This window comes from Homo sapiens, chromosome 2 (assembly GCF_000001405.40).
Source record: "Homo sapiens chromosome 2, GRCh38.p14 Primary Assembly".
NCBI lineage: Eukaryota > Metazoa > Chordata > Mammalia > Primates > Hominidae > Homo > Homo sapiens.
Genome location: NC_000002.12, coordinates 153897626 through 153923930, shown reverse-complemented (window position 1 = coordinate 153923930; position 26305 = coordinate 153897626). Strand labels below are relative to the sequence as shown.

General features: G+C 35.8%; 1 protein-coding gene across 18 annotated transcripts in view, besides 1 other annotated feature; it reads right to left on the bottom strand.

The window, feature by feature from the left end:
• The window catches only part of GALNT13 (polypeptide N-acetylgalactosaminyltransferase 13), a 1388282-nt gene that overhangs the window by 532644 nt on the left and 829333 nt on the right, over window positions 1–26305 (bottom strand). For 16 of the 18 annotated variants that reach the window (XR_007069045.1, NM_001422882.1, NM_001422883.1 and 13 more), the window contains one exon: window positions 22924–22995. The gene's annotated coding sequence lies outside the window, so the exon portion shown is untranslated. Of the gene's footprint in view, window positions 1–18206; window positions 18243–22923; window positions 22996–26305 lie in introns of all 18 variants that reach the window. The other 2 variants (NM_001376402.1, XM_047443116.1) reach the window with 1 other exon arrangement.
• Window positions 10243–10743: an enhancer, noted in NCBI's record as "H3K4me1 hESC enhancer chr2:154769701-154770201 (GRCh37/hg19 assembly coordinates)". NCBI's record gives its function as "activates a minimal SCP1, AML or CMV promoter by ChIP-STARR-seq in naive H9 embryonic stem cells {active_cell/tissue: H9 hESC(naive)}" and the evidence as "EXISTENCE:reporter gene assay evidence [ECO:0000049][PMID:30033119]".

The window sequence follows — 26305 nt, the reverse complement described above, 5'->3', positions numbered from 1 at the left end:
GGATTAAGAAAATGTGGCACATATACACCATGGAATACTATGCAGCCATAAAAAATGATGAGTTCATGTCCTTCGTAGGGACATGGATGAAGCTGGAAACCATCATTCTCAGCAAACTATCACAAGGACAAAAAAACAAACACCGCATGTTCTCACTCATAGGTAGGAATTGAACAATGAGAACACTTGGACACAGGAAGGGGAATATCACACATGGGGGCCTGTTGTGGGGTCGGGGGAGGGGGAAGGGATAGCATTAGGAGATATACCTAATGTAAATGACAAGTTAATGGGTGCAGCACACCAACATGGCACATGTATACATATGTAACAAACCTGCATGTTGTGCACATGTACCCTAGAACTTAAAGTATAATAAAAAAAAATAAAAACAACCATGATTGAGATTTAACAAAAAAAATCAGATTCCAAAATCAAATCAACATGAAGAAAATACTCTCCCTGTTAAAAGTAAGCAAGGTAGAGTATGATTTTATTCAAAAGCCAAAAAAGTACATAACTAATAAAGTAGTAGTATATAACGAATGTAATTGGTTCTATTATAATTTGCTATTAATCCAGCAGAACAGCAATCAACATTTTATTTTCCTTTTCACTTCACATTTCTGGCAAAGATATGTACAAAAGCAGCAACCTGAATTAATAAAGCTATTAACTAATACATACATTTTATTCTGTTTTTAAATGTCTAATCTAAAAATGCTATTTCAGGCCAGGCACAGTGGCTCATGCCTGTAATTCCAGCACTTTGGGAGGCCGACGTGGGAGGATCACCTGAGGTCAGGAGTTTGAGACCAGCCTGGTGAACATAGTGAAACCCAGTCTCTATCAAAAATACAAAAATTAGCCAAGCACTGTGGCAGGCGCCTGTAATCCCAGCTACTCAGGAGGCTGAGGCAGGAGAATTGCTTGAACCCGGGAGGCGGAGGTTGCAGTGAGCCCAGATCACACCGCTGCACTCCAGCCTGGGTGACAGAGGGAGACTCTGTTTCAAAAAATAAAAAATTTAAAAATTAAAATAAAAAATAAAAATAAAAATGCTACTTCAAATGACCTTATTACTTTAATATAATTATTAAATAATATATCTCTGAGTTTCTAAAATATTCATTTCCATTTATCACTTCATGCCAGTCATTGCTAATTAAAGCAATTTCTGAAAACAATTTTTCTTTCCATATTATCCACCAGAAGTTAGCTGTGCGAAACATGATAGTGGACTGGGGGAAGGTGGAGAGTAAGGGTTGGGGGAAGGATTATCACCTACCTAAGTTTGCCTCAACTATAAAGTTTCCTTTCTTAAAATTAGTCTCTATAATTGGTTTGATAGCAGGGAGAAGCAATTAGTTACTAACAGACAGCTTTTCTAATTATAGTTTATTTTTGAGACAAGGATAAAATTCTAAAAGGAAACAGTCCATACATTTTCTGTAAAGATTATATATTTTCATAGCTTAAATGGGAAAGGTATAAAGCTTCAAGATCAAAAGATCTGTTTAGTCCAAGGAAAATCTTCCACTGTTTATGTGGCTGAATGATTATAATATTTTCTTTTGATTTTGAAAAGCATAGTAAATACATTCTAACAACTGACTGACATCAGAAGAAATCAGTAGGTGTACTCCAGTTCAAAGTATCTTATCTATTAATTTCTGTGAAATGAAACTGTGTTCAAACTGAGAAGAAAATATTGGTATGACTCCCCTTCCTGCAAAAAACCATAATCAGTACAAAAATTCTCTGATTTCCCACATCCATTCAGCTCTACTCCAGCAGAATAGCAATCAACATTTTATTTTCCTTTTTGCTTCACATTTCTGGGAAAGATATGTACAAAGACAGCAATCTAAATTAATAAAACCCACTAACCGATACATGGATTTTTTTCTATATGTCATTTTAATTCCTGGTTATTCCACTCCTCATATTTTTAAAATTATAGATGTATTTTAACGTATTTAAATTATGTTTATCCTTATTATATTTCTAATATCCTTTTTTTATTCATCTTATTTGCCATCCATAGTCTTTTTTCAATTATAAAAACCATCTGACCTGGATTTTATATTTCAGTTTTTAATTGGCTCTGCAGGATATATTTGTTAGTTGTTTGTCCATGTGTCAATTGTTTCTGCCATCTTTTCCAAATTTACTGTATTTTCTTCCTCTACTATGGAGAAAACACTGTATCTCTCGGCCATTCCAATATTTCCTCATAATTTCTACTTGCATTCTATCTCCCTTACTCTTACATAAACTCTTAAGCATTCTTTTTTATTATTATTATAACTTCTGTGTTAGGTTCAGGGGTGCATGTGCAGTTTTGTTATACAGGTAAATTGCTTGTCACAGGGGACTGGTGTACAGATTATTTCATCACCCAAGAATAAACATAGTACCCAATGGGTATTTTTCTGATCCTCTCCCTCCTCCAAGACTCCACCCTCAAGCAGGCCTTGGTGCCTGTTGTTCCCCTCTTTGTGTCCATGTGTTCTTGTTTAGCTCCCACTTACAAATGAGAGAATGCAGTATTTGGTTTCCTGTTCCTGTGTTATTTTACTTACTATAGTAGTATCCAGCTCCATCCATGTTATTGCTAAGGATATGATCTTTTTTGTGTCCGTATAGTATTTCATGGTGTATATGTTCCATATTTTATTTATTCAGTCTACCATTGATGGGAATTTAGGTTGATTTCATGTCTGCTATTGTGAATGGTGCTGCAATGAATATACACGTCCATGTGTCTTTATGGTAGAGTGATTTATATTCTTTTGGATATATACTCAAACATGGGATTGCTGGGTTGAATGCTAATTCTGTTTCAAGTTCTTTAAGAAATCATTACACTGTTTTCCACAATGGCTGAACTAATTTACATGCTCATCAGCAATGTATAAGCGTTCCCTTTTCTCCACAACCTTCCAGCATCTGCTATTTTTTGACTTTTTAATAATAGCCATTCTGACTGCTGTAAGATGGTATCTCATGGTGGTTTTGATCTGCATTTCTCAAATGATCAGTGATGTTGAGCATGTTTTCACATGCTTGTTGGTCACATACATGTCTTCTTTTGAAAACTGTCAGTTCATGTCGTTTGCCCACTTTTTAATGGGTTGTTTTTTTGTTCATACACTTAAGTTCCTCAAAGATTCTGGATATTTGACCTTTGTTCGATGCATAGCTTGCAAATATTTTCTCATATTCTGTAGATTGTCTGTTTGTTCTGTTGATAGTTTCCTTTGGTTTGCAGAAGTTCTTTAGTTTAATTAGGTCCCATTTGTCAATTTTTATTTTTGTTGCAGTGGTTTTGGGATCTTTGTTATAAAATCTTTGCCAGTTTCTAGGTCCAGCACGGTATTTCCTAGGTTGTCTTCCAGGGTTTTTACAGTTTTGGGTCTTATATTAAAGTCTTTCATCCATCTTGAGTTGATATTTTTATGTAGTATAAAGAAAGGGCCCAGTTTTAATCTTCTGAATATAGCTAGCCAGTTATCCCAGCACCATTTATTGAATACAGAGTCCTTTCCCCATTGCTTGTTTTTGTTAGCTTTGTGGAAGATCAGATGGTTGTAGGTGAGGTGCCTTATTTCTGGGTTGTCTATTCTGTTCCATTGGTCTATGTGTTGGTCTTTGTACCAGTACCATCCTGTTTTGATTACTGTAGCCTCTGAATGCATATTCTAAGTTATTTTTTCAAGACAATCCAAACTATAATCGTAATTGATGACACCTAAGTCATGTGCACCTACTGAGAATCCGAAGAGGCCTACTAATAGCAAAAACATCAGAATATGAATGTCTGTATCAAAGAACCAGGAATATAGAAGGTATTATTTTTTCTAAAAATTCATATATAAATATATATAATTATATTTAGCTATATATAATATATATAACTGTTATATATTATAATATATATAATATAACTGTATTATATATAATGGGGTATTAGACAATGTTGATTCAAGTCCAACCCCTATACACATTCAGTTTGAAGATACTGAAGAGGTTAATTTGCCCAGTTAACTCCAGTTGTTCCCGTGTTTATAACATAGCAATAAGAATTATATCTACTTATAGAATTCTGGTAAAGATTATATATGAAATGACAATCAGAGGAACTGGCACAATGTAATTAATCAGTACATGTTAGCCATTGCTATTATTGTAATCAATATTAGGATGAGCAAAATAATTTGTTAACACAACTTGGAAAAAGAAAATCCTTTAAGATTCATTCAAATATTAAGCTATTTATTTTATTTATTTCCCAAATAATTTTTGAGTACATAATATGCTCCCAACCCTAGCCCACATTAGGTGCTTGAGACACCTTGCCTCACGGTTTATAATCTAGAAGTTCTAAATAAAATCAAAGGCCTGCTCAAGATTAAAGTTTCTGGGGTCTGCATCATTGTTAAGAACATTAATTTTATTATTTTCATTTTGTTGTTTATATATATCAATATCACATATATTTTAATTATTTATAACAGAAAAAATAGTGGTATTCACAAATCTGCTGGTATATTTTAATAATTTTTGAATTTCATATGGGATATACAAGCAGAGCTGCCTAGAAGACAGGTGAGTATAGGGACTGAATATCAGAAGAGGTAAAGATGAGGGAGTCAGCAAGTCAATGGAAATTGAAGACATGGAAGTTGATAAAATTTGTTCAGTGAGAATCTAAGTATGATAGAAAATGAGGGTGCCATAAAGAATCTTGTAGAATATGTATTTTAAGAAAGATAAGCACACAAATGAGATTGGGCAATGCTATCAAGGGAGGAGAAAGACAGAAGTACAATAATATAGATTTCATCAAAAAATAATATTCTGAAATAGAATGAATGATCAATAGTACAAAATTGTGCTAAGGGAGCAAAGAAGTATATTCTATATGCAATATAAGTCACACAACTAACTTTGGTGAGCTTGAAGCAGCTTCAGACAACCAGACAAGGAAAGCCTCAGTGTGTTGAGGTGTGAATGAATGTGACACAAAATATTGAAAAATCTTGGAGACATTTAGCTATGAGTAGAGGTAATAGTTACAGTGTAGCTAATAATGGACTTGAAATAAGGTGAAGATTTATGCACAAATGCATTTTTGGTTTTAAGGGGAAAGATATTTTTACATGTTTAATGCCAAGAGGAAGGAATCAGGAGAAAGGGACAAGGTTGAACATGCAAAATGAAAATATTCATTTGAACTATCACCCTTAGAACATGCACAGATAGCTGTAGGATCCAGAGCACTGATGAAAGAATTGGTTTATAGAGGAAGAGGCATCAATAGAAGGGGAGAATAAAAGGATTTAGGGACACTGGTAAGTTAGTAGGAATCTCAAAATTTCCTGTCTCACAGATGCTATTTTCTCTGCACATGATCTGTTAAGAAGGAAGGGAGAAGAGTGGTGGTGGGTTAGAGCATAGGGGAGTAGCAAAGGTTGGCTATGAAAATGAAACTGTGGGAAATGGAAGATACCGCTCTAGAAAACCACATTAAGAGTTGCTTTGCAGAGTCAAGGGCTTACTTGACTTTGTCATCCCAAATTCTCACCCTGTTTGATTGGTGTATGTTATCTCTACCGAAGTTCACCCAGAGAGAATTAGGAGCATCTCCCTTTCCATTTCTTTTACCTTCCAAGGATTTCAGTTCAAGTGGTAGAAAGATATTTTTACTTTGTATTCCCAATTTTTCAAACACAGTATTTCAATTTAAAAATCAGATTAATTATTTTAAACTTGGCTGAATCAAACATAATCCTGAATTAATAAAATCTCAATGAACTCCTAGTTAACATGTTTTGAGTATGCTAAAAATGCTTTTGAACATCCTTCTCTCCAAAAAAGTAATGATGATACATCTTGCCAAACCTCTGCACTCACACATGTGTACATGCAGGAGAAAACAGAGAGAAGGAAGTAGAAATCCAAGTAATTTTGCTGTAAGCTAGCTGCATTTTACTAGAAAAAAAAAAAAACTGTGGTCATGATTAACAGATAACTGCCTAATTGACATTCTGCCTCTTTTTTCTCTCTCTCTCTGCTTCTATCCTCCCTCTCTATCAGTTGAACCCTTGTTTCCAAGATACCTTTTAGTTTGACTCCAAGGCTGCTCAATTGGGTGTCTCTCATACTGACTAAGGTTGCCTGGCAACATGACTGATAGAATACTCACCAGCCTGTGTGGTAGCTCTATTTTTTGGCTTACAGGTGGGAGATTTGGATAGAATTTTAAGAGATTTTTCACACTGCAATTCTGTTTCATTTCAGTGGATGTGCAATTAAGTTTATTACTTATAACATCATTGTTATAGTTTATTGCACTTTTCAGCATTATTTAGACGTTTTTGGTTTTATCATAATTGTTAATACTTCTAGAAAAATTTTTAAGTTTGAATTACCCCTCAAAATAATGCATACCTTTTTCAAATTATATTATCATAAAGTCAAAATAAAAAATAATAAAAACCAGAAGGTTATTGATGGGGAAGAGATGTAAAGGGAAGTTATTGGGGGTTAGAAATATTCTGTGTGTTCCTGATTCTATATTACCGCTATAGGTAGCAGTAATGCAGGCATATAACTACGTAAAAACCCATCAATCCATATATTTAATATTAGTGTACTTTACACATCTTAATACACATATGGTATATTCAAGATATTTTAAAGATGATGGCAATATGAATAAATACATACACACAGACACAAACAGAGACAAGGATATTTCTTTTGGCAAAAGAATCTGTGTTAGGCAAAAAAAAAATGCACAGAATTACGGTGTTTTAAAGCTGTTAAATAGGTGGTAGAGGTCATCTCATCAACTAAGTGACTTGTCAGCTGAATAAACTGAGGCCCAGAGGTGTATAATTTCTTTCGTCAGTTTCATAACTTACCAATGGCAAAGGTTAAAGAGAAACCTTTAAATTCTTATCTATTTCTTGGTTTGACATTACATAAAGTGCTGCTATCATAGACCTTAACTTTGAGCAATCTTTCAGTTTAATTCAAAGTATAGAAATTATACATCAAAGAACAGAAATTGAGACTCAATCCCATCTAAAAGGTAAAGCTCTACTCAAGAGAAACAAGGTTAGTTGCCTTTGTACTCTATCAATCTGTATTAGTCATTTATAGACACCGTCCTCTCTTAAACTGAATTTATGCTAATATAAGATAGGTAAACTAAATATACCATTTCTTGACTATTTCCTATGCAATGAACCCTTTGAATATATTATCATATTCTATCCACACCGAAACATTTAAACACAGTTATATCATGCCCTTTTACAGCTGAGGAGGTATAACCAAATAAAAACCTTGCTCAAGGTATCACAGCTAGTATTTGCTGAACTGAGATCAGAATAGTTCTGTATGATGTTAGAACCTGTGCATTTTAACTCACTCCATCCTGCCTCAAAAATCGGATTACCTAGGCTGGGCACAGTGACTTGTACCTGTAATCCCAGCAGTTTGGGAGGCTGAGGCAGGAGGATCGTTTGAAGCCAGGAGTTCGAGACCAGCCTGGGCAACATAGTGAGACCTCATTGCTACTAAAAATTTAAAAATTAGCCAGGCACAACGCCACACACCAATCATCCCGGATACTCAGGAGGCCGAGGAAGGGAATTGCTTGAGTACAAGAGGTCAAGGCTGCAGTGAGCTATGATTGTGCCACTGCACTCCAGCTTGGGTGACAGAGCAAGACCTTATAAAAAAAAAAAAAGAAAAAGAAAAAAGGAAGGAAGGAAGGAAGGAAGGAACGAAGGAAGGAAGGGAGGAAGGAAGGACAGAAGGAAGGAAGGAAAAAGAAAAGAAAAGATCAGATCACCTCAATGTAATTCCTATCCTCTCCTTGTGACTATGACCACTAAGAGCTTACTAAATATCTATCTTTCCCTTCATCCTTACTAGGTAACCAACAAAACAGTTGTGTGTGCAGCTACAACACTACGTGCAACAGTCTCCTTTACAACTAAGAGTAATGATGGGTAGGTAGAAAATATAAGAAAGAGTTTCCAGGTAATCTCTTTGATGAGGGGTAAATCACCTGGCTGCATGCCTCATTTGTCATTGCATTTTTTTTTCATTCTTGCTGCATAGAACACAAATGTGATGGCTAGGCTGCAGAAGTCATCTCAAACTACTGGAAAACTCTTGTGGATGAAGTTATGTAGCTAAGACTGTGGAAAAGAACTACAAAAGGAGACTAGATTCCTAATGATCTAGGAGCTATAATTTCAGCCCATGATGATAATGATCAGGCTTCCTCTATGCAGAGGGCAGGGGTCACCAGGCAAAGAGATGAACAAAATTTCAGAGGGTAACAGCCACTCTGAGGAGTGACAGGACATATGAACTATTTCACTTTTAACAGAATAAGAGAGAATGAGGTAGTCACCATGAAAGTAGGTAAGAAGAAAACAGCTAAAAGTGTAACAAATACTTAAGGATCAGAATTGGCCAACAGAACAGTGTAGACACCCAGGAATCCCCTATATACAAATAAACATGTGTTCATTCATAAACTTCTTTATGAGGAAAGATTCAGTCCAGAGTAGAGACCAGTGAGAACTCTTTGGAGGTATAAAGTCACAAAATCCTTACCAATTCCCCAAAATTTTCTCTAATACAAAGCAAAATTTAGCCTTTTAGGGTGAAAAAAATCCTCATATTCCCAACACCCTGGAAAAGAGCTATAGTTTCTCAGGAAGGGGTAGAATGATCCATCAAACCTTGCTGAATGGGCAGGTAACTTTCTTGTGCCCAGAATCTTAAGCTAACATAAAACAGAGGTCTGCTAACACTGGGGGAAGAGCAGGACACCTCTCCCACTCATGAATCCCACAGACTCCAGGAGGAGCTTGGGCCCCATGGGAGGAATGGGTAGGTATTGTGTAAGAGCCATACATCTAAGGCACAGGTGCACAGGCCATGTCTAAGATAAAGACTGGAGAACAGGATCCAGGCACCCTCCTGTCCCCCACCAGGAGTAGTATATTAGTATGCAACAGCAATTTACCACTGGAGGATTGTCCAGAATGTAATAAGAGGTTTCCTCCCCTATGCAAACATGCAAGGAAGACGGAAAGGGTTGGAAAAAAAACACTGAAAAAACTATCATGTGCCCCAGGTACCATACTAAGCAAAGAAGCCTGTCGGGGGTTGGGGGGTGGAATAATATCAATATAAATCATCGGATAAGAAAGTAAAAGAGATAATTTGATAATCTCAATAGGTTTGAGATAATTTGAAAATCTCAATACAGGCAGAAGCATTTGATAAAAATTAAAAACCTAACTATAATTAAGAATCCTAACAAAATCAGAATAAAACTAGATTCTCTCAATCAAATATATGCTATTTTCTCAAAATAATACAGCAAACATCTTTTTTTTTTTTTTTTTTGAGACGGAGACTCGCACTTTTGCCCAGGCTGGAGTGCAATGGCGTGATCTCAGCTCACTGTAACTTTGCCTCCTGGGCTCATATGATTCTCCTGCTTCAGCCTCCCAGGTAGCTGGGACTACAGGCACACACCACCACACTCGACTAGTTTTTTGTATTTTTAGTAGAGACGGGGTTTCACTGTGTTGGCCAGACTGGTCTCGAACTCCTGACCTCAAGGACATCATTCTTAACAGTAAAATGATGGACAGTGTTCTCTTTGATTTGTGAACAAGAGCAGAATGTTCATTCTTCCTGTGTTCATTCAGCATTGTTCTGGACATTCTAGCCAAGTCAATAAGACACAGAAAATACAATAAAGCTATAAGATTTTGAAAGTGTTAAGTAATACTATCTTTCTTCACAGACAACATGGATGTTTACATAGAAAATTCAAAATAATGCACTGAAAAACACACTAGAATTAATGAGTTTACAATCTACTATATGCAAGGGCGATATTTAAACATGTATTTTTATACAAGGAACAAAGAGAAAATAATTTTTTAAGATATATCTTGCCTACCCCAAGATGGCCAACTAGACACAGCTAGGAGGAACATCTCCCTCCAAGGGACCAGAACATCAGAAAGACTGGAGTCCTCTGAGCATATCTTCAGAGGCAAGGCATTGAGAACAGATGGAGGGAAGACACAGATGCTGGACTGAAGGGAGAGGGGACTGGGCACCCTGCATGGGACTGCCGTTCACCAGGACTTATTCCTGGCCCCGAAGAACTCCTGCAGAAAGTAGGAGTTGAACACACAAGGAGCAAGCTGCTCTCATCACAGCCCTCTGGAATCCCAGCAGTAGGAAACCCCTCTACCACCATGGACCCTTCAGTTGGCAGAAAGAGTAACTTAGAAAAGTGTTAGAGCCAGAACTCCAGCCAATGCAGAGCCCAGAGGATTTGGTGTTGGAGTGTCTGTAGCGGAGCATGGTCAGGGCTGCCCATTCCCCTGGGCTCAACTTGCTTCCATAGGAGACTTTAGCCTTAGGGGAACTGTCCAACCTGAACTCTGAAGGGCTGTTTTGCCCATGAGACAGGACATGTGTGCACAGACAAACCTTCCCTTCCTTTCCCTGCCACCATATGTGTGTGCACGCACCCTGCTATACCACTGCTGTTGACATGGATGCATGCTGCCCCCCACCCCACCTGTCACATTGCCATTGTCCTCAGAGCATTGGCAGGCATGAAAGCCGCCTGCCCTGCTGCCAGCAGCACCCACCACTTGCACTGACACTGCTGCCAAAGTGAAACTAGGCAGGGAAAACAGACAGCTTGCCCACAACCTAGGCAGCCACCACCACCAGTGTGAACATGCATAGAGGGCATGCACAGTCCTGCGCCCACCAGCACCCCCACCACCATGCTAACACCAACACTGGCATAAACACATGCACAGTTGCCAGTGGAGGACCCCTGTCTCCCTGAGTAATACTGCCATCACCACTGCTGCAAACACCTGCTGGCTACCCAGCACCCACTACCACCCTGCCACAGCTGACAAGTGTGCACTTGGCCATGCTGCTGCTGCCACTGTTGCTAGCACATGCAAATGAGGATAGATTCCACTGCCACTGCCCTACAAAGAGCTTTGGCTGGCACCATGCATACAAGTATTGTGACCAGCAGTTCAGGAACATTTCAGCCTATCCTGTGCAACAGGTTCCTAACCATGAGGGGCCAGAAAACAAAGCCAGTGCCCAATAAGAGTCACCCAGAATTAGAAAACACAGTCCGGGAGTCCTGAGCTAAGCCTTGACTCCCTAAAATCTTGCAGAAATGAATCCAATTGACTGAATACACCTTATACCACAATTAAACCCCCAAGGTCATTAAATAGGATAAAAGAAAAAAAAACATCTAAATGATAGGAACTTCAAATACTGAAGGAACAGCAGACCCACAAAGATGAGAAAGAACCAGCACAAGAACTCTGACAGCTCAAAAAAAGCAAGAGTGTCTTCTTTTCTCCAAATGACCACCCTAGTTCTCCAAGAAGAGTTGTTAACTGAGGTCAGATGGCTGAAATGACAGAAATAGAATTCAGAATAAGGATAAGAATGAAGATTTTCAAGATTCATGAAAACACTGAAACCCAATCTAAGGAAACTAAGAATCATAATAAAATGACACAGAATCTGATAGACAAAATAGCCAGTATAGAAAAGCATGAAGCTGACCTTATAGAGCTGAAAAAAACACTACAAGAATTTCATAACGCAATAGCAAGTAAAAGCAACAGATTAGACCAAGCTGAGTAAAGAATTTCAGAGCCTGAATACTGACTTTCTGAAATAATACAGTCAGACAAGAATAAAGAAAAAAGAATAAAAAGGAACAAACCAAACCTCAGAGAAATATGGGATTATATAAAGAGACCAAATCTATGACATTGACATCCCTGAAAGAGATAAGCAGAATGGAAGCAACTTGGGAAGCATGATTCAGGTTATCATCCATAAGAATTTCCCCTATCTAGCCAAGGAGGCCAACATTCAAATTCAGGAAATGCAGAGAACCCCCACAAAATACTTCACAGGAAGACCATCCCCAAGACACATAATCATCATATTCTCCAAGGCTGAAATAAAAAATGATAAAGGCACCAAGAGACAAAGGACAGGTCACCCACAAAAGGAAGCCCATCAGACTAACAGCCAACTTCTCAGAAACAGCACTACAAGCAAGAAGAGATTGGGGGTCTATATTCAACATTCTTACAAAAAGATAAATTCTGACCAAGAATTTCATATACAAACAAACTAAGCTTCATAAGCGAAGGAGAAATAAGATGCTTTTCAGACAGGCAAATGCTAAGGGAAATCATTACCACCAAACTCGCTTATAAGAGCTCCTGAAAAAAGCACTAAATATGGAAAGGAAAGACTGTTACCAGCCGCTACAGAAACACATTTAAGTACACAGACAAGTGGCACTATAAAGTAACTATAAAAACAAATCTGCATAAAAACTAGCTAAAAACACTGCGACAGGGTCAAATCCACACATATCAATGCTAACATTGAATATAAGAAGCTAAATGCTCCAAGTAAAAGACACAGAGTGGCAAGGTGAATAAAGAAGCAAGACTCAGTGGTATGCTGTCTTCAAGAGACCTATCACACATACAATGACACTCACAGGCTCAAAATTAAGGGATGGGGAAATGTCTACCAAGCAAATGGAAAACATAAAAACACTAGGGTTACAATCCTAATTTTAGGCAAAGCAGACTTTAAATCAACAAAGATCAAAAGAGGGCATTACATAATGGTAAAGGATTCAGGTTGACAAGACCTGACTATTCTAAACGTATATACACCCAACTGAGAAGCATCCAGATTCACAAAGGAAGTTCTTAGTGACCTTCAAGGAAATTTCGACTTCCATGCAATAATAGTGGGAGATTTCAACACTCCACTGACAGTACTGGACAGATCATCAAGGCGGAAAGTTAGCAAAGACATTTAGGACTTGAACTCAAAAGGACCAAATGGACCTGATAGATACCTATAGGACTCTCCATCCAAAAACAACAGAATATACATTATTCTCATTGCCACATGGCACATACACTAAAATCAACCACACAATAGGACATAAAACAATCAGCAAATGCAAAAGAACTGAAATCATAGCAACTACTCTCTCAGACAACAGCACACAAAAAAAGAGAATTCAAGAAAATCACTCAAAACCATACAATTACATGGAAATTAACCTGCTTCAGAATGATTTGGGGTAAATAATGAAATTAAGACAGAAATCAAGAAGGTCTTTGAAACTAATAAGAACAAAGCTACAACGTACTAGGATCTCTGGGACACAGATAAGGCGGTGTTAAGATGAAAATTTGAAGCACAAAATGCCCACATCAAAAACTTAGAAAGATCTCAAATTAACAACCCACCATCACAAATAAAAGAAGTAGAGAAGCAAGAAGAAATCAACTCCAAAGCTAGCAGAAGACCAGAAACAAACATAATCAATGCTGAACTGAAAGAGATTGACACATAAAAAAACCATTCAAAAGATCAATGAATCCAGGAGTTGGCATTTTGAGAAAATTAAAAAGATGGATAGAAACTAGCTAGGCTAATAAAGAGAAAAAGATAGAAGATAAACACAATCAGAAATGACAAAGGCAATAACCACTATCCCTACAGAAACACACATATATAACCATCAGAGACTACTACGAATACCTCTATTCACACAAACTCAAAAATCAACATGAAATGGATAGATACCTGAGCACATATACCCTCCCATGACTAAACCAGGAAGAAACTGAATCCATGAACAGACCAATAATGAATTCTGAAATTGAATCAGTAATAAATAGTCTACCAACCAAAAAAAAAAAAGCCTAGCCAGGGCCAGAAGGATTCACCGACAAAGTCTACCAGACATACAAAGAAGGGCTGGTACCATTCCTAGTGCAATTATTCCAAAAAAATGAGGAAGAGGGACTCCTCCCCAACTCATTCTATGAGGCCAGCATCATCCTGATACCAAAACCTTGCAGTGACACAACCAAAAGAGAAAACTTCAGGCCAAAATTCTTGATGAGGATAGATTAAAAAATCCTCAACAAAATACCAGCAAACCAAATCCAGCAGTGCCATCAAAAAGCTAATCCACCATGATCAAGTAGGCTTTATCCCTGGAATGCAAGGTTGATTCAACATATGCAAATCAATAAATGTAATTCATTACAAAAACAGAGGTAAAAGTCAAAACCACATGTTTATTGCAATAGAAGCTGAAAAGATGTTTGACAAAATTCAACATCCCTTCATGTTAAAAACTCTCAACAAGCTACATATTGAAGGAACATACCTCAAAATAGTAAGAGCCATCTATGACAAAACCACAGCAAACATCACATAAATGGGCAAAAGCATTACCCTTGAAAAGCCACACAAGACAAGGATGCCCCCTCTCACCACTCCTATTAAACATAGTATTGAAAGTCCTGGCCACAGAGATCCATCAAGAGAAAGAAATAAAGCATATACATACAGAAAGAAAGGGAGTCAAACTATTCCTGTTTGCAGATGATGTGTTTCTGTATCTAGAAAACCCCACAATCTCAGCTTGAAAGCTCCTTAAACTGATAAACCTCAGCAAAGTTTCAGGATAAAAAGTCAATGTACAAAAATTACTAGCAAAATCTGTACAAACTAGCAAAAAATGTACAAAAATCACATTAAAAATCCTATATGGCAATGACAGCCAAGCTGAGAACCAAGTCAGGAAAGCAATCCCATTCACAACTGTGACAAAATACCTAGGAATATAGTTAACCAGGGAGGTGAAAGATCTCTACAATGAGAATCACAAAACACTGCTCAAAGCAATCAGAGATGACACAAACAAATAGAAAAACACTCCATGTTCATGGATCTCATGGATAGGAGGAATCAATATCATTAAAATGGCCATACTGCCCAAAGCAATTTATAGATTCAATGCTATCCCTATCAAACTATAAATAACATTATTGGCAGAACTAGAAAAATATATTTTAAAATTCATATGGAACCAAAAAAGAGCCCAAATATCCAAGGCAAGATATCTCAGCAAAAAGAACAAAGTTGGACGCATTATGTTACCAACTTCAAACTATACTACAGAGCTACAATAAAAAAATGGCATGGTACTGGTACAAAGGCAGACATATAGGCCAATGGAATAGAATAGAGAGCCCAGAATTAAGGCTGCACACCTACAACCATCTGGTCTTCCACAAAGTCAACAAAAGAAAGCAATGAGGAATGGACTCCCTATTCAATGGGAGTGTGCTTGGATAACAGGCTAGCCATATGCAGAAGATTGAAACTGGACTCCTTCTTTATACCACATAGAAAAATCAACTCAAGATGGATTAAAGACTTAAATGTAAAACCCAAAACTATAAAAACTCTGGAAGACAACCTAGAAAATACCATTCTGGATGAAGAACCTGTTAAAGGTTTCACGACAAAAACACCAAAAGCAATTGCAACAAAAGCAAAAATTGACAAATGGGATCTAACTCAACTGAAGAGCTTCTGTGCAGAAAAAGAAACTATCAACAGAGTAAGCAGACAACCTATAGAATGGGAAATATATATGCAAACTATGCATCTGACAAAGCTCTAATATCCAGCATCTATAAGGAACTTAAATTACAATGAAAAAGTAAACAACCCCATTAAACAGTGGGCGGAGGACATGAACCAACACTTTTCATAAATGTGGCAAACAATCACATGAAAAAGCTCACTATCACTGATCATTAGAGAAATGGAAACCAAAACCACCATGAGATACCATCTTACACCAGTCAGAATGGCTATTATGAAAAAGTCAAATAACAGAACAGACAAGGTTGTGGCGAAAGGGAACACTTACACACTGCTTGCTGGTGGGAGTGTAAATTAGTTCAACTATTGTGGAAAGCAATGTCATGATTCCTCAAAGAGTTAAAAACAAAATTACCATTCAACCCAGCAATCCCATTACTGGGTATATACATAAAGGAATATAAATTATCCTACCATAAAGACACATGCACACATATGTTAATTGCAGCACTATTCACAATGACAAAGATATGGAATCAACCTAAATGCCCATCAATGGTAGAATGGATAAAGAAAATGTGGCACATATACACTATGGAAAACTATACAGCCACACACACAAAAAAATTAGATCATATCCTTTGCAGTAACATGGATGGAGCTGGAGGCCATCATCCTTAGCAAACCAAGGCAGGAACAGAAAACAAATACCACATGTTCTCATTTGTAAGTGGAGGCTAAGTGATCAGAACACATGGACACAAAGAAGGGAAAAACAGACAATGAACTCTACCTTAGGATAGAGGGTGGCAGGAGGTAGAGGAACAGAAAAAAATAACCATTAGGTACGAGGCTTAGTATTCCAGTGACAAAATAATCTGTACAACAAACCCCCATGACACAAGTTTACCTACATAACAAACCTGCTCATGTACCCCTAAACCTAAAATAAAAGTTAAAAAAGTGTATATAATATGTATGTATTATTATGTATGTAATTATATGTATATGATACATATGTATATAATTATATGTGTGTGTGTATATATATAATCTTAATATTAAACTGCATTAAACTTCTAGGCACAAATTAACCAAAATACATAAGACCTCTAAACAAAAAACCCTTCTGCACAGCAAAAGAAACTACCATCAGAGTGAAAAGGCAACCTACAAAATGGGAGAAAATTTTCGCAACCTACTCATCTGACAAAGGGCTAATATCCAGAATCTACAATGAACTCAAACAAATTTACAAGAAAAAAACAAACAACCCCATCAAAAACTGGGCAAAGGATATGAACAGACACTTCTCAAAAGAAGACATTTATGCAGCCAAAAAACACATGAAAAAACGCTCATCATCACTGGCCATCAGAGAAATGCAAATCAAAACCACAATGAGATACCATCTCACACCAGTTAGAATGGCGATCATTAAAAAGTCAGGAAACAACAGGTGCTGGAGAGGATGTGGAGAAATAGGAACACTTTTACACTGTTGGTGGGACTGTAAACTAGTTCAGCCATTGTGGAAGTCAGTGTGGCGATTCCTCAGGGATCTAGAACTAGAAATACCATTTGACCCAGCCATCCCATTACTGGGTATATACCCAAAGGATTATAAATCATGCTGCTATAAAGACACATGCACACGTATGTTTATTGCAGCACTATTCACAATAGCAAAGACTTGGAACCAACCCAAATGTCCAACAACGATAGACTGGATTAAGAAAATGTGGCACATATACACCATGGAATACTATGCAGCCATAAAAAATGATGAGTTCGTGTCCTTTGTAGGGACATGGATGAAACTGGAAACCATAATTCTCAGCAAACTATCACAAGGACAAAAAACCAAACACTGCATGTTCTCACTCATAGGTGGGAATTGAATAATGAGAACACATGGACACAGGAAGGGGAACATCACACTCTGGGGACTGTTGTGGAGTGGGGGGAGGGGGGAGGGATAGCATTAGGAGATATACCTAATGCTAAATGATGAGTTAATAGGTGCAGCACACCAACATGGCACATGTATACATATGTAACAAACCTGCACATTGTGCACATGTACCCTAAAACTTAAAGTATAATAATAATAAAATTTAAAAAAAAAGAAAAAAAGAAAAATTAGCTTGAACTCAACATTAAAAAAAAACAACCAGACATGGGATTAAGAGAAACTAAAAGATCAAAATAAATAAGTCCCCCCTTACTTATGGTTTTGCCTTCCATGGTTCCAGTTACTCATCGTCAACTGTGGTCCAAAAATATTAAATGGAAAATTCCAGAAATAAACAATTTATAATTTTAAATGGTGTGCTGTTCTGTGTAGCTTGATGAAATTTCCCATGGCTCTGCTCTATTCCTCCTAGGACTTTAATCATTCCTTTGTCCAGCATCCTCATGCTACATTCACAACCCACCCAATAGCCACTTAGTAGCCATATCGGTTATCAGATTGATTGCTAAAGTTATCACAGTGTTTGTATTCAAGTCACCGTTATATTACTTAATAATGGACCCAAATTACAAGACTGGTGATGTTGGCAATTTGAATATGCCAAAGAGAAGCCATAAAGTGTTTCCTTTAAGAAAATAATAAAGGGAAAAAGTTGTTTGCTCACGTTGCTAAGCTCTATGGTAAGAATGCTTCTTCTGTCCTTGAAATTGTGAAGAAAGAACAAGAGATTTATGTTAGTTTTGCTGTTGCACCTCAAACTATGAAAGTTATGACCAAAATCATTCACAAGACTTCATCTCATCATGTAGGCATTGTATTATCTCACATCATCACAAGAAGCAGGTTAAGTACAGTACAATAACATACTTTGAGAGACAAGGAGACTATATTCACATAACTTTTATTACAGTATATTGTTATAATTGTTCTATTTTATTATTAGTTGTTGTTAATTTCTTCCTGTGCCTAAGTTATAAATTAAACTTTATCAGAGGTATGTATATATAGAAAAAACCATAGTCTATATATAAGGTTTAGTACTATTTGCAGTTTCAGGCATCCACTGGGGATCTTGGAATGTGTCCCCAGTTAATAAGGAGGAAATGCTGTATATATTATGTTCATAAATGAAATCAGTTAATATTGTAATTACACCAGCTCTTTAAAAATTTACTTAACAATAGATTGAATGCAATTCTAACTAAAATCTAAACAATTATTCTTGTTAACTTGACAAAGTAATTCTAAAATTTACATGAAAGAAGGCAAAGTCAACATGCCTTTGAATAACATGTGGTAGAAGAACTTGTTTTAATAGATATTAAGAATATTTAAAAAGTAGCCATAGTTAAAATAGTGTTATAAGTGGTAAGAAGAGACTAATAATCCAATTAAATAGAAGTTGGCTCCTAAAAGACCCAGACATATATAGAAATTTAATTTATAGTAAATATGACATTAAAGAACAGTGGGCGAAGGAGAGAATTGTCCAGTATGATTCTATAACAACTGGATATCTAGAACTTGACTTCTACCTCACATCACTCACAAAAATGAAGGCAAGTGGAAAGATATAAACATAATGAGGTGATATAATGATTAAAATTAAAATTAGGAACATCAAAAAAACCTCATTAAGAAATTGAAAAACCAAATCATAGAAAAGGAGAACTTTGCAGCATATTTAACTGATGGGAGGCTCTTAATCTAGTGTAACTAACTTGTGAATATTAACAATTTTAAAAATCAACACAATAGAAAAATACACATATGAACAGGAAATTTATAGACAATAATATGTTCATGGCTATTAAGCTACATGACATAATCATATTAATCAACAAGAAAATGTAAACCAAACTCTCACCAGAATGGCTAAAATTAAAAGAAATGATTATACTAATCTTTGGTAAAGATGAAACAATGGAAACTCTTACACACTAATGAATGAAGTGAAATTAGTATAGTTACTTTGGAATACTGTCTGGTAGTATCTACTAAAGTTGAAAGATTGCATGCAATATGACTAAGAAATTCCATTGCTAAGTATATATTCAAGAGAAATATATGTACATATTTAGCAAAAACACATTTAAAAGAATGTTTATGGCAGCATTACATTTGGGTAATGGCCCAAACCTAGAAAGAGCACAAATGTCCATCAACAATACAATGAATAAATATTCTGTAGTATTTCTATACAATGGAATACTATATAGCAATGAAAATTAATGAACCACACAAAAACATTAAAGAAACTTAAAAACAAACATACATTCAGAAAAGGACACCATACACTGAAGAATGTGTGTCATATGAATATTATGTACATTAATTTAAAAATCAGGCTAAACCAATATTTTGCATATAAGGATACATTATTTAAAGTTAAAACTATAATGAAAAGCAAGGAAGTAATTCCCACAAATATCAGGAATAATGTCATCCACGGGAAACTGATGGAAAGGAGGTAATGGCTGGCAGGCAGAAAAAGTAGGATTGGAGATGCAGCAATTGTTCTATTTCTTGACCTGTGGGATGGTTACATGGGTCTTTGCTTGTGAAAATCATTGCTCTGTCTCCTTAATGCGTAAAAATTCAAAGCAAAAAGCTTAAAAGAGTAATAATTATGTAGGTGAAATTGAAAAATAGAAAACTGTTACCTGAGATAAATTTTAATAAACATAACTTTTATTTAAAATTCGCTGCTACCAAGAGCCATTTAGGTGATTTATCTCATTTAAGCTTTACAATATCCAGAAGACACAGTACTATTAATAACACATTTTGAAGGTACAGAGGCTGACGCACAGAGAGCATCAATAATTGACACAAAGTCACACAGCAAATGGGCCTTACTTGGAACATGAATCAATGAAGCAGAATGGTCCTGGAGACCATGGTCTTAAGCAGTATATTATTCTACTTCTCCAGTATATTAGGTTGATGCAAAAGTAATTGCAGTTTTTGCAAAGTAATGGCAAAAATGCAATTACTTTTACATTAACCTAATAGAAAAAGAGATACTCCATATGCTGAGTGTTACGTTTTTCCCTCGTCAAAATTAGTTTTGCATGATCGGTAAACTAACTTTAAAATGCGTTCTTTTACGGACCCAAGATACAAAATCTTTTTTTTTACCACTCTATCCTTGTTTCATTTTTAAGTTCTACTAAGGAAGGAAGACAAATCAGATTAAGATGACATGTTTACTATCGTAACTTATAATTGAATAATATAATAAATTACTGTTGCTATTGCCCAACAAGTGAATATATACAAGAGATTTATCACTAACCATAAGGTACATTTCTCCCTAAAGGTCAAGATTTTTCTGGCTATCCAAAAACCTATCTAAAGAAAGGGTAAACTCTGTAAACAAAATATGTTTCTCTGATTATTGGCAACATCATTTTCCAGCTCAGTAATCCTGGAAGCTTCAGTTATTTTTTTAGATAAATGATGGTACACTGGTAAACTGCAATGACTCTGGAGCTTGACTAAATGGCCCCAAATGTCAGGCATGGTATGTTTTACTTTTGTGACCTGGGACAATTTGCTTAAATGATGCCTCTCTCAGTTTCCTCTTGCACAAAATGGGGATGACATTAGTCATTAACATTTAAAACAACCCTGGTACTCAGTGAATCCTGCACAAGCATTAATTATTACTATTACTCCCTGAACCTGTTTACTTCCAAATAAATCTCACATGCTCCAACCCCTGCCAGTCCATCCCCACTGCTATGACCTTAGGTCTTGCCCTCATCCCTTCATTCTTATCCCTCTACAAATGCTTAAAAATTGATCTTTTTGCAACAAGTCTTCCAACTGCAATCCAGTTTGAAGATATCACCAGAATAACATTTAAAAATACCTTTTTCCTAGTTTGAGGAAAAATAGTTTCCTCAAACTAATGACAAAGTTTCCTTGAGAGTTCTTTTTGTCTTTCTCTCCCACTTACTCTAGTCCTTACTAACACAGTACCTCTCACATTTAGGAGCATGGACTATTAATTGAACCAAAGGAAATAAAATTACTAAACAAAATCACTAGCTTTGTCTTCCAGAGGTCAAATCTAGAAATGGAGACTTCATCTCTTATTCTCATCCCTCTGTAAATCCTTCAGTCTCAAAACCAAAAGTAGTGTGGGAGCATGAACGATTTAATCCATTCAATTTTAGAGCAATAATCTTTTAAATACTAGTAATTCTGAAAATGTCCCCAGATAAAATGTTGCTGATGATTTGTTTCAAGAAATAAAGTGTACAGGGGTTAGGACCAATGGATGGCTAACGTGAAAGAATTTGAAGATCACCAGAGTCCAAAAGGGAAAGCATCAATGTGGCCAGTGTGATGTAAAGGATAGTACTATGAACACTACACATCTGAAGATAATAAAGAGGGAAGAGAATGGTAAGTCAAGCTCAACCCTTCATTGCAATCTCTTCTTCACTGCAAAAAGCAACTAAAAAGGAGTGCAAGAAAAGGCTGTGGTCAGCCACTGCAAATGCTGAAAAGTATAATAGAAGAGTAAGGTATTATATCTGCCATTAGGGGAGGAGCTGTTATATATTTTTAAGTTTTCTCTAATCAAATAGCATTTTGTTCAAGGCAACTCATTTTGGGTTGCTGATTGGTTCTATTGACACTGAATATAAGGCAATTCTTATTTTTTTAAATTTGAAATTCAGTCACAAAATACTCATTTACTCTGATGGGTAGTGTTGGCCAGAACACTTCATCAGGGCAGAGGTATATTTCTCTACAACAACAATTTCTAGCCTGACAGCAAAACGAGAACACAATCCCACTCACAGTAACCCCCAAAAGAATAAAATACCTAGGAATACAGCTAACCAAGGAGGAGAAAGTTCTCAACAAAACACTGGTCAAAGAAATTAGACATGACACAAATAGAAAAACATCCCATGCTCATGGACAGGAAGAATCAAGATTGATAAAATGGTCATGACGTCCAAAGCAATTTACAGATTCAATACTATTCCTATCAAACTGCAAACGATATTGTTCATATAATTAGGAAAAACTATTTTATAATTCATAAACCAAAAAGAGCCAAAATAGCCAAGGCAATCTTAAGCATAAAGAAAAAACTAGAGGTATCACATTACCCGACTTCAAACTATACCACAGGGCTGTAGTAACCAAAACTGCAAGGCACTGATACAAAAAGAGACACACAGAACAATGGAACAGAATAAAGACCCCAGAAATAATGCTGCACACATACAACCTTCTTATCTTTAACAATGTTGACAATATCAAAGACTGTAAATAGAAATGGGTTCTTTCATGACTGTCTGCCAAATTAATCGAACATGACTGCAATTGAGTAGAAAAATAAAAATATTACTTACTGTATGTGGCACTTGGCAATTTCAAAATGATTTGCAAACATTCATCCTCAAAATGCTTCTACAAAAATGCATCTGTGGAGGAAGAAAAAATCCAAAAGAGTAAACAATTTGTCAAGATCACAGAAAAACTAATACAGACCAACACACACTTAAACACTATATACTTTAACGTGCTTAAATAGGTTTTACAAAATGTAGACCATATATCTACCAAAGTATAATGGGCTGATGAACAGAAGTATTCCCAACTATATGCAAATATTCCAAAACATCAGTCAAGGAGAACACTTTGAAGAAAGAGGTAAGAGAAGTCTGCATACTAGCTTCATATTATATGCAAGAAACACAGTGCCCCCCAGAATATTGGCAGAATGGCATAAAAGTAATTCAAAAATATGAGATGTTCATAAGTAAATATACGTGGAGAGTTGAGGTGATTATTCAAATATTTCAAGTTTTTAAAAGGTACTATTATCTGACATATGAGGATCACTGAGTTAGAAAAGAATTTGGCTTGATTTATCCAGAGAGTTGCACCAATTCACTTTGTAACTGCATTTAAATTCTAATTGAAATCCATGCACTGAGAAAAATGCAGGCACACGACCTGCATACCCCACAAAAATACACAAACAGTTCCATTCTCTGTGTTTCAGAATATCAATGTGATTATGAGGAGAAAGTGATTTAATCAAGCATTATTAATTAATTTGTTTTAGAGTAGGGTTTTGAAAGAGCATATTGATTTTGAATCTCAAAATATTTCAAATTAAATGGGTTTTACACTACGGAGTATATACGGTGTTATAAAAGAACTGTTCAAAGACATATAATAAAATACAACCTAATGAAAATATCAGTCTGGCCAACATGGCGAAACCCTGTCTTTACTAAAAATACAAAAATTAGCCAGGCATGGTAGTGAGTGCCTGTAGTCCCAGCTACTCGGGAGGCTGAGGCAGGACCATCACTTGAACCCAGGAGGCGGAGGTTGCAGTGAGATGAGATCGTGCCACTGCACTCCAGCCTGGGAGACAGAATGAGACTCCATCTCAAAAAAAAAAAAAAAAAATATATATATATATATATATGTATATATCTCCCTTCAAAAATACAGTGTGTTCTTTCAGACAGATCAGACAGACTATGAACAATATAAATAAAAATCCCCTTAAGTACCAAACATCTTTAAAGGAATATTAAGTTCTCAGCAACAAACAGAATTTCTGCTGAGAGATCTGGGTCTTGATGGTACTAAGCAGAAATAGCAGTTAAATAATACAGAGGTTGTGCTTTTGTGTTCACCAAAACCAACTGTAACCAAATCAACAGTTCAATATTCAGACCAAGCATTTTGAATATAAAATCTAATTTATCTTCCTCTAGTATGTTAAAGACATTGGGATTGCACAGGTCTCTACCTGGCCCATGAATAAATGATTTTGCTAATGTTTCACACAGAACCTCTCAAACAGAGAAAACTAAATATAGTTAGCAAGTTTATAGTTAAATGGAAAAAAATCAAGAAATGCCCAAGAAACTTTGTATTTTCTAAGTTTAAAACTTAAAACATAATAAAAGATATATATTCTTCTTCACATATAATTCAATACAATTATAAAGTTATAACAATTAGTAAATCTCTATATTTCTTCATACTTTAGCATATTCATCCTCATAGACAAGAAGACTGAGGTGAACACTAATTACATCACTTGCTCAATCTGACACAGCCAATAGGAGGCAAGCCTGGGCTCAAAACCAGCTTTTCTGACCTGGGTTTCATCTTACCGCAATATCTGCTAGTTTCTAGGTTGCATCCAGAGCAGAGATTGAAAACTGGGGGCATGAAAACCACATCTGGCTTACTGATACATTTCGTTTGTCCCACACCATGGTTTTTAAAATATTACATAATATTCAAAAGCAGAAGATTTCTCATAAAAAATCCTTATATGTAGGTTTTTTGAAAAAGTGAAGATTTTTATAAGGCTAGACTCAGGTATGGAACAGAAAAATGGTTGCCCCTCATCTACTTCCTACTTTTACAAACCATCTTTTACTCTGACAATTTTAAATACTGGAGTGTTTTCCACCAGATCCAAGCCCTCCTTTATTAAGAATTGCCATCATTTTTTTTTTTTTTTTTTTGCTGTGCAACTGGAGGAAGAATTTACCTTTATTATTCTCAAAAACTGTATTTTGTCAATTGAAATAACCACTTACAATACTACATTTCACTAGATTCCTATAATCACATGCTATTGATTGGTTATCTTATTTCAATCTATATATGTTTTAAAATTTTGTGGGTTTGAATATTTTTTATTTTTTAAATATATATTTGATAATTTTCATAGCTAAGGGAAAAATATTACAAACAATTGATTAGTACATCATCAAGTGAAAGAATGAGACCTCATATAATAATTTTACATTTACCATGGACATGCCTTTCAGAGAGCTATTTCCTGGATTGATAGGCATACTATGTAATAAAATAATTATGATACATTAAACACTTCAATTTAATTGGATAAACTGGATTAAGATAACACTAACAGCTAAAGGTAAAGCTATACAATCCATAAATTTTGGTTAAACAATGGCATATTGCAATTGTCTTCAAATATCAATATATTTTGCAGAATGCATAAAAATATGGACTGGCATTCTGAGGAACTCAGGTAGTAGGAGCCACCTAAATCTGAAACTGTTCACATATCCTAAAAAATATATACACCTAAAAAAACAAATTAAAACACACAAATCCAAGTCCTTCGGCACAATTGGAAGCTGGAGAATAATAAACATGTCAGATTGTATGTAAACAGAAAATTAGACACCAATTTCTAACAGAGCTATCTTTCAAGCTCCCACTATATACAGAGATATATGGGGTCCAGAAAAACTGTGAAAAAGGTAAAGGATACCAGAATTCCTAACAGTGACATGAAAATCACTCACAAAAAATCCACTCAACCTATGAAAATTCTGAAAAACTATTCTGGCATATTAGAACATGGACACAGAGAGAAGACTTAAAAATACATGACATTTGAGGTGGCATTTTTTTCTGGAAGAAAAGCAAGTAAGGCATTTATAAAATGATGGGAATATGTCAAAAGGACACAGGTCCTAGCTTCAAGAGGCTTTTACTGGTTTAATCTGGGACAACTGGGAAATAAATAATTATTGTAATGGATTAAACTGTATTAAGGAAAATATAATAAAGTATGAAATTAAGAAGGGAAAACTCCTTCTTCGAGTATAATGTCAACTAAAAAGTATAGATGGACTGATGGAGTTAGAAAACCACCATAATATTTTAGGTACCTGAATCAGTAAAGAAAACATTAGTGGATCAGCACCAGCGCATGAA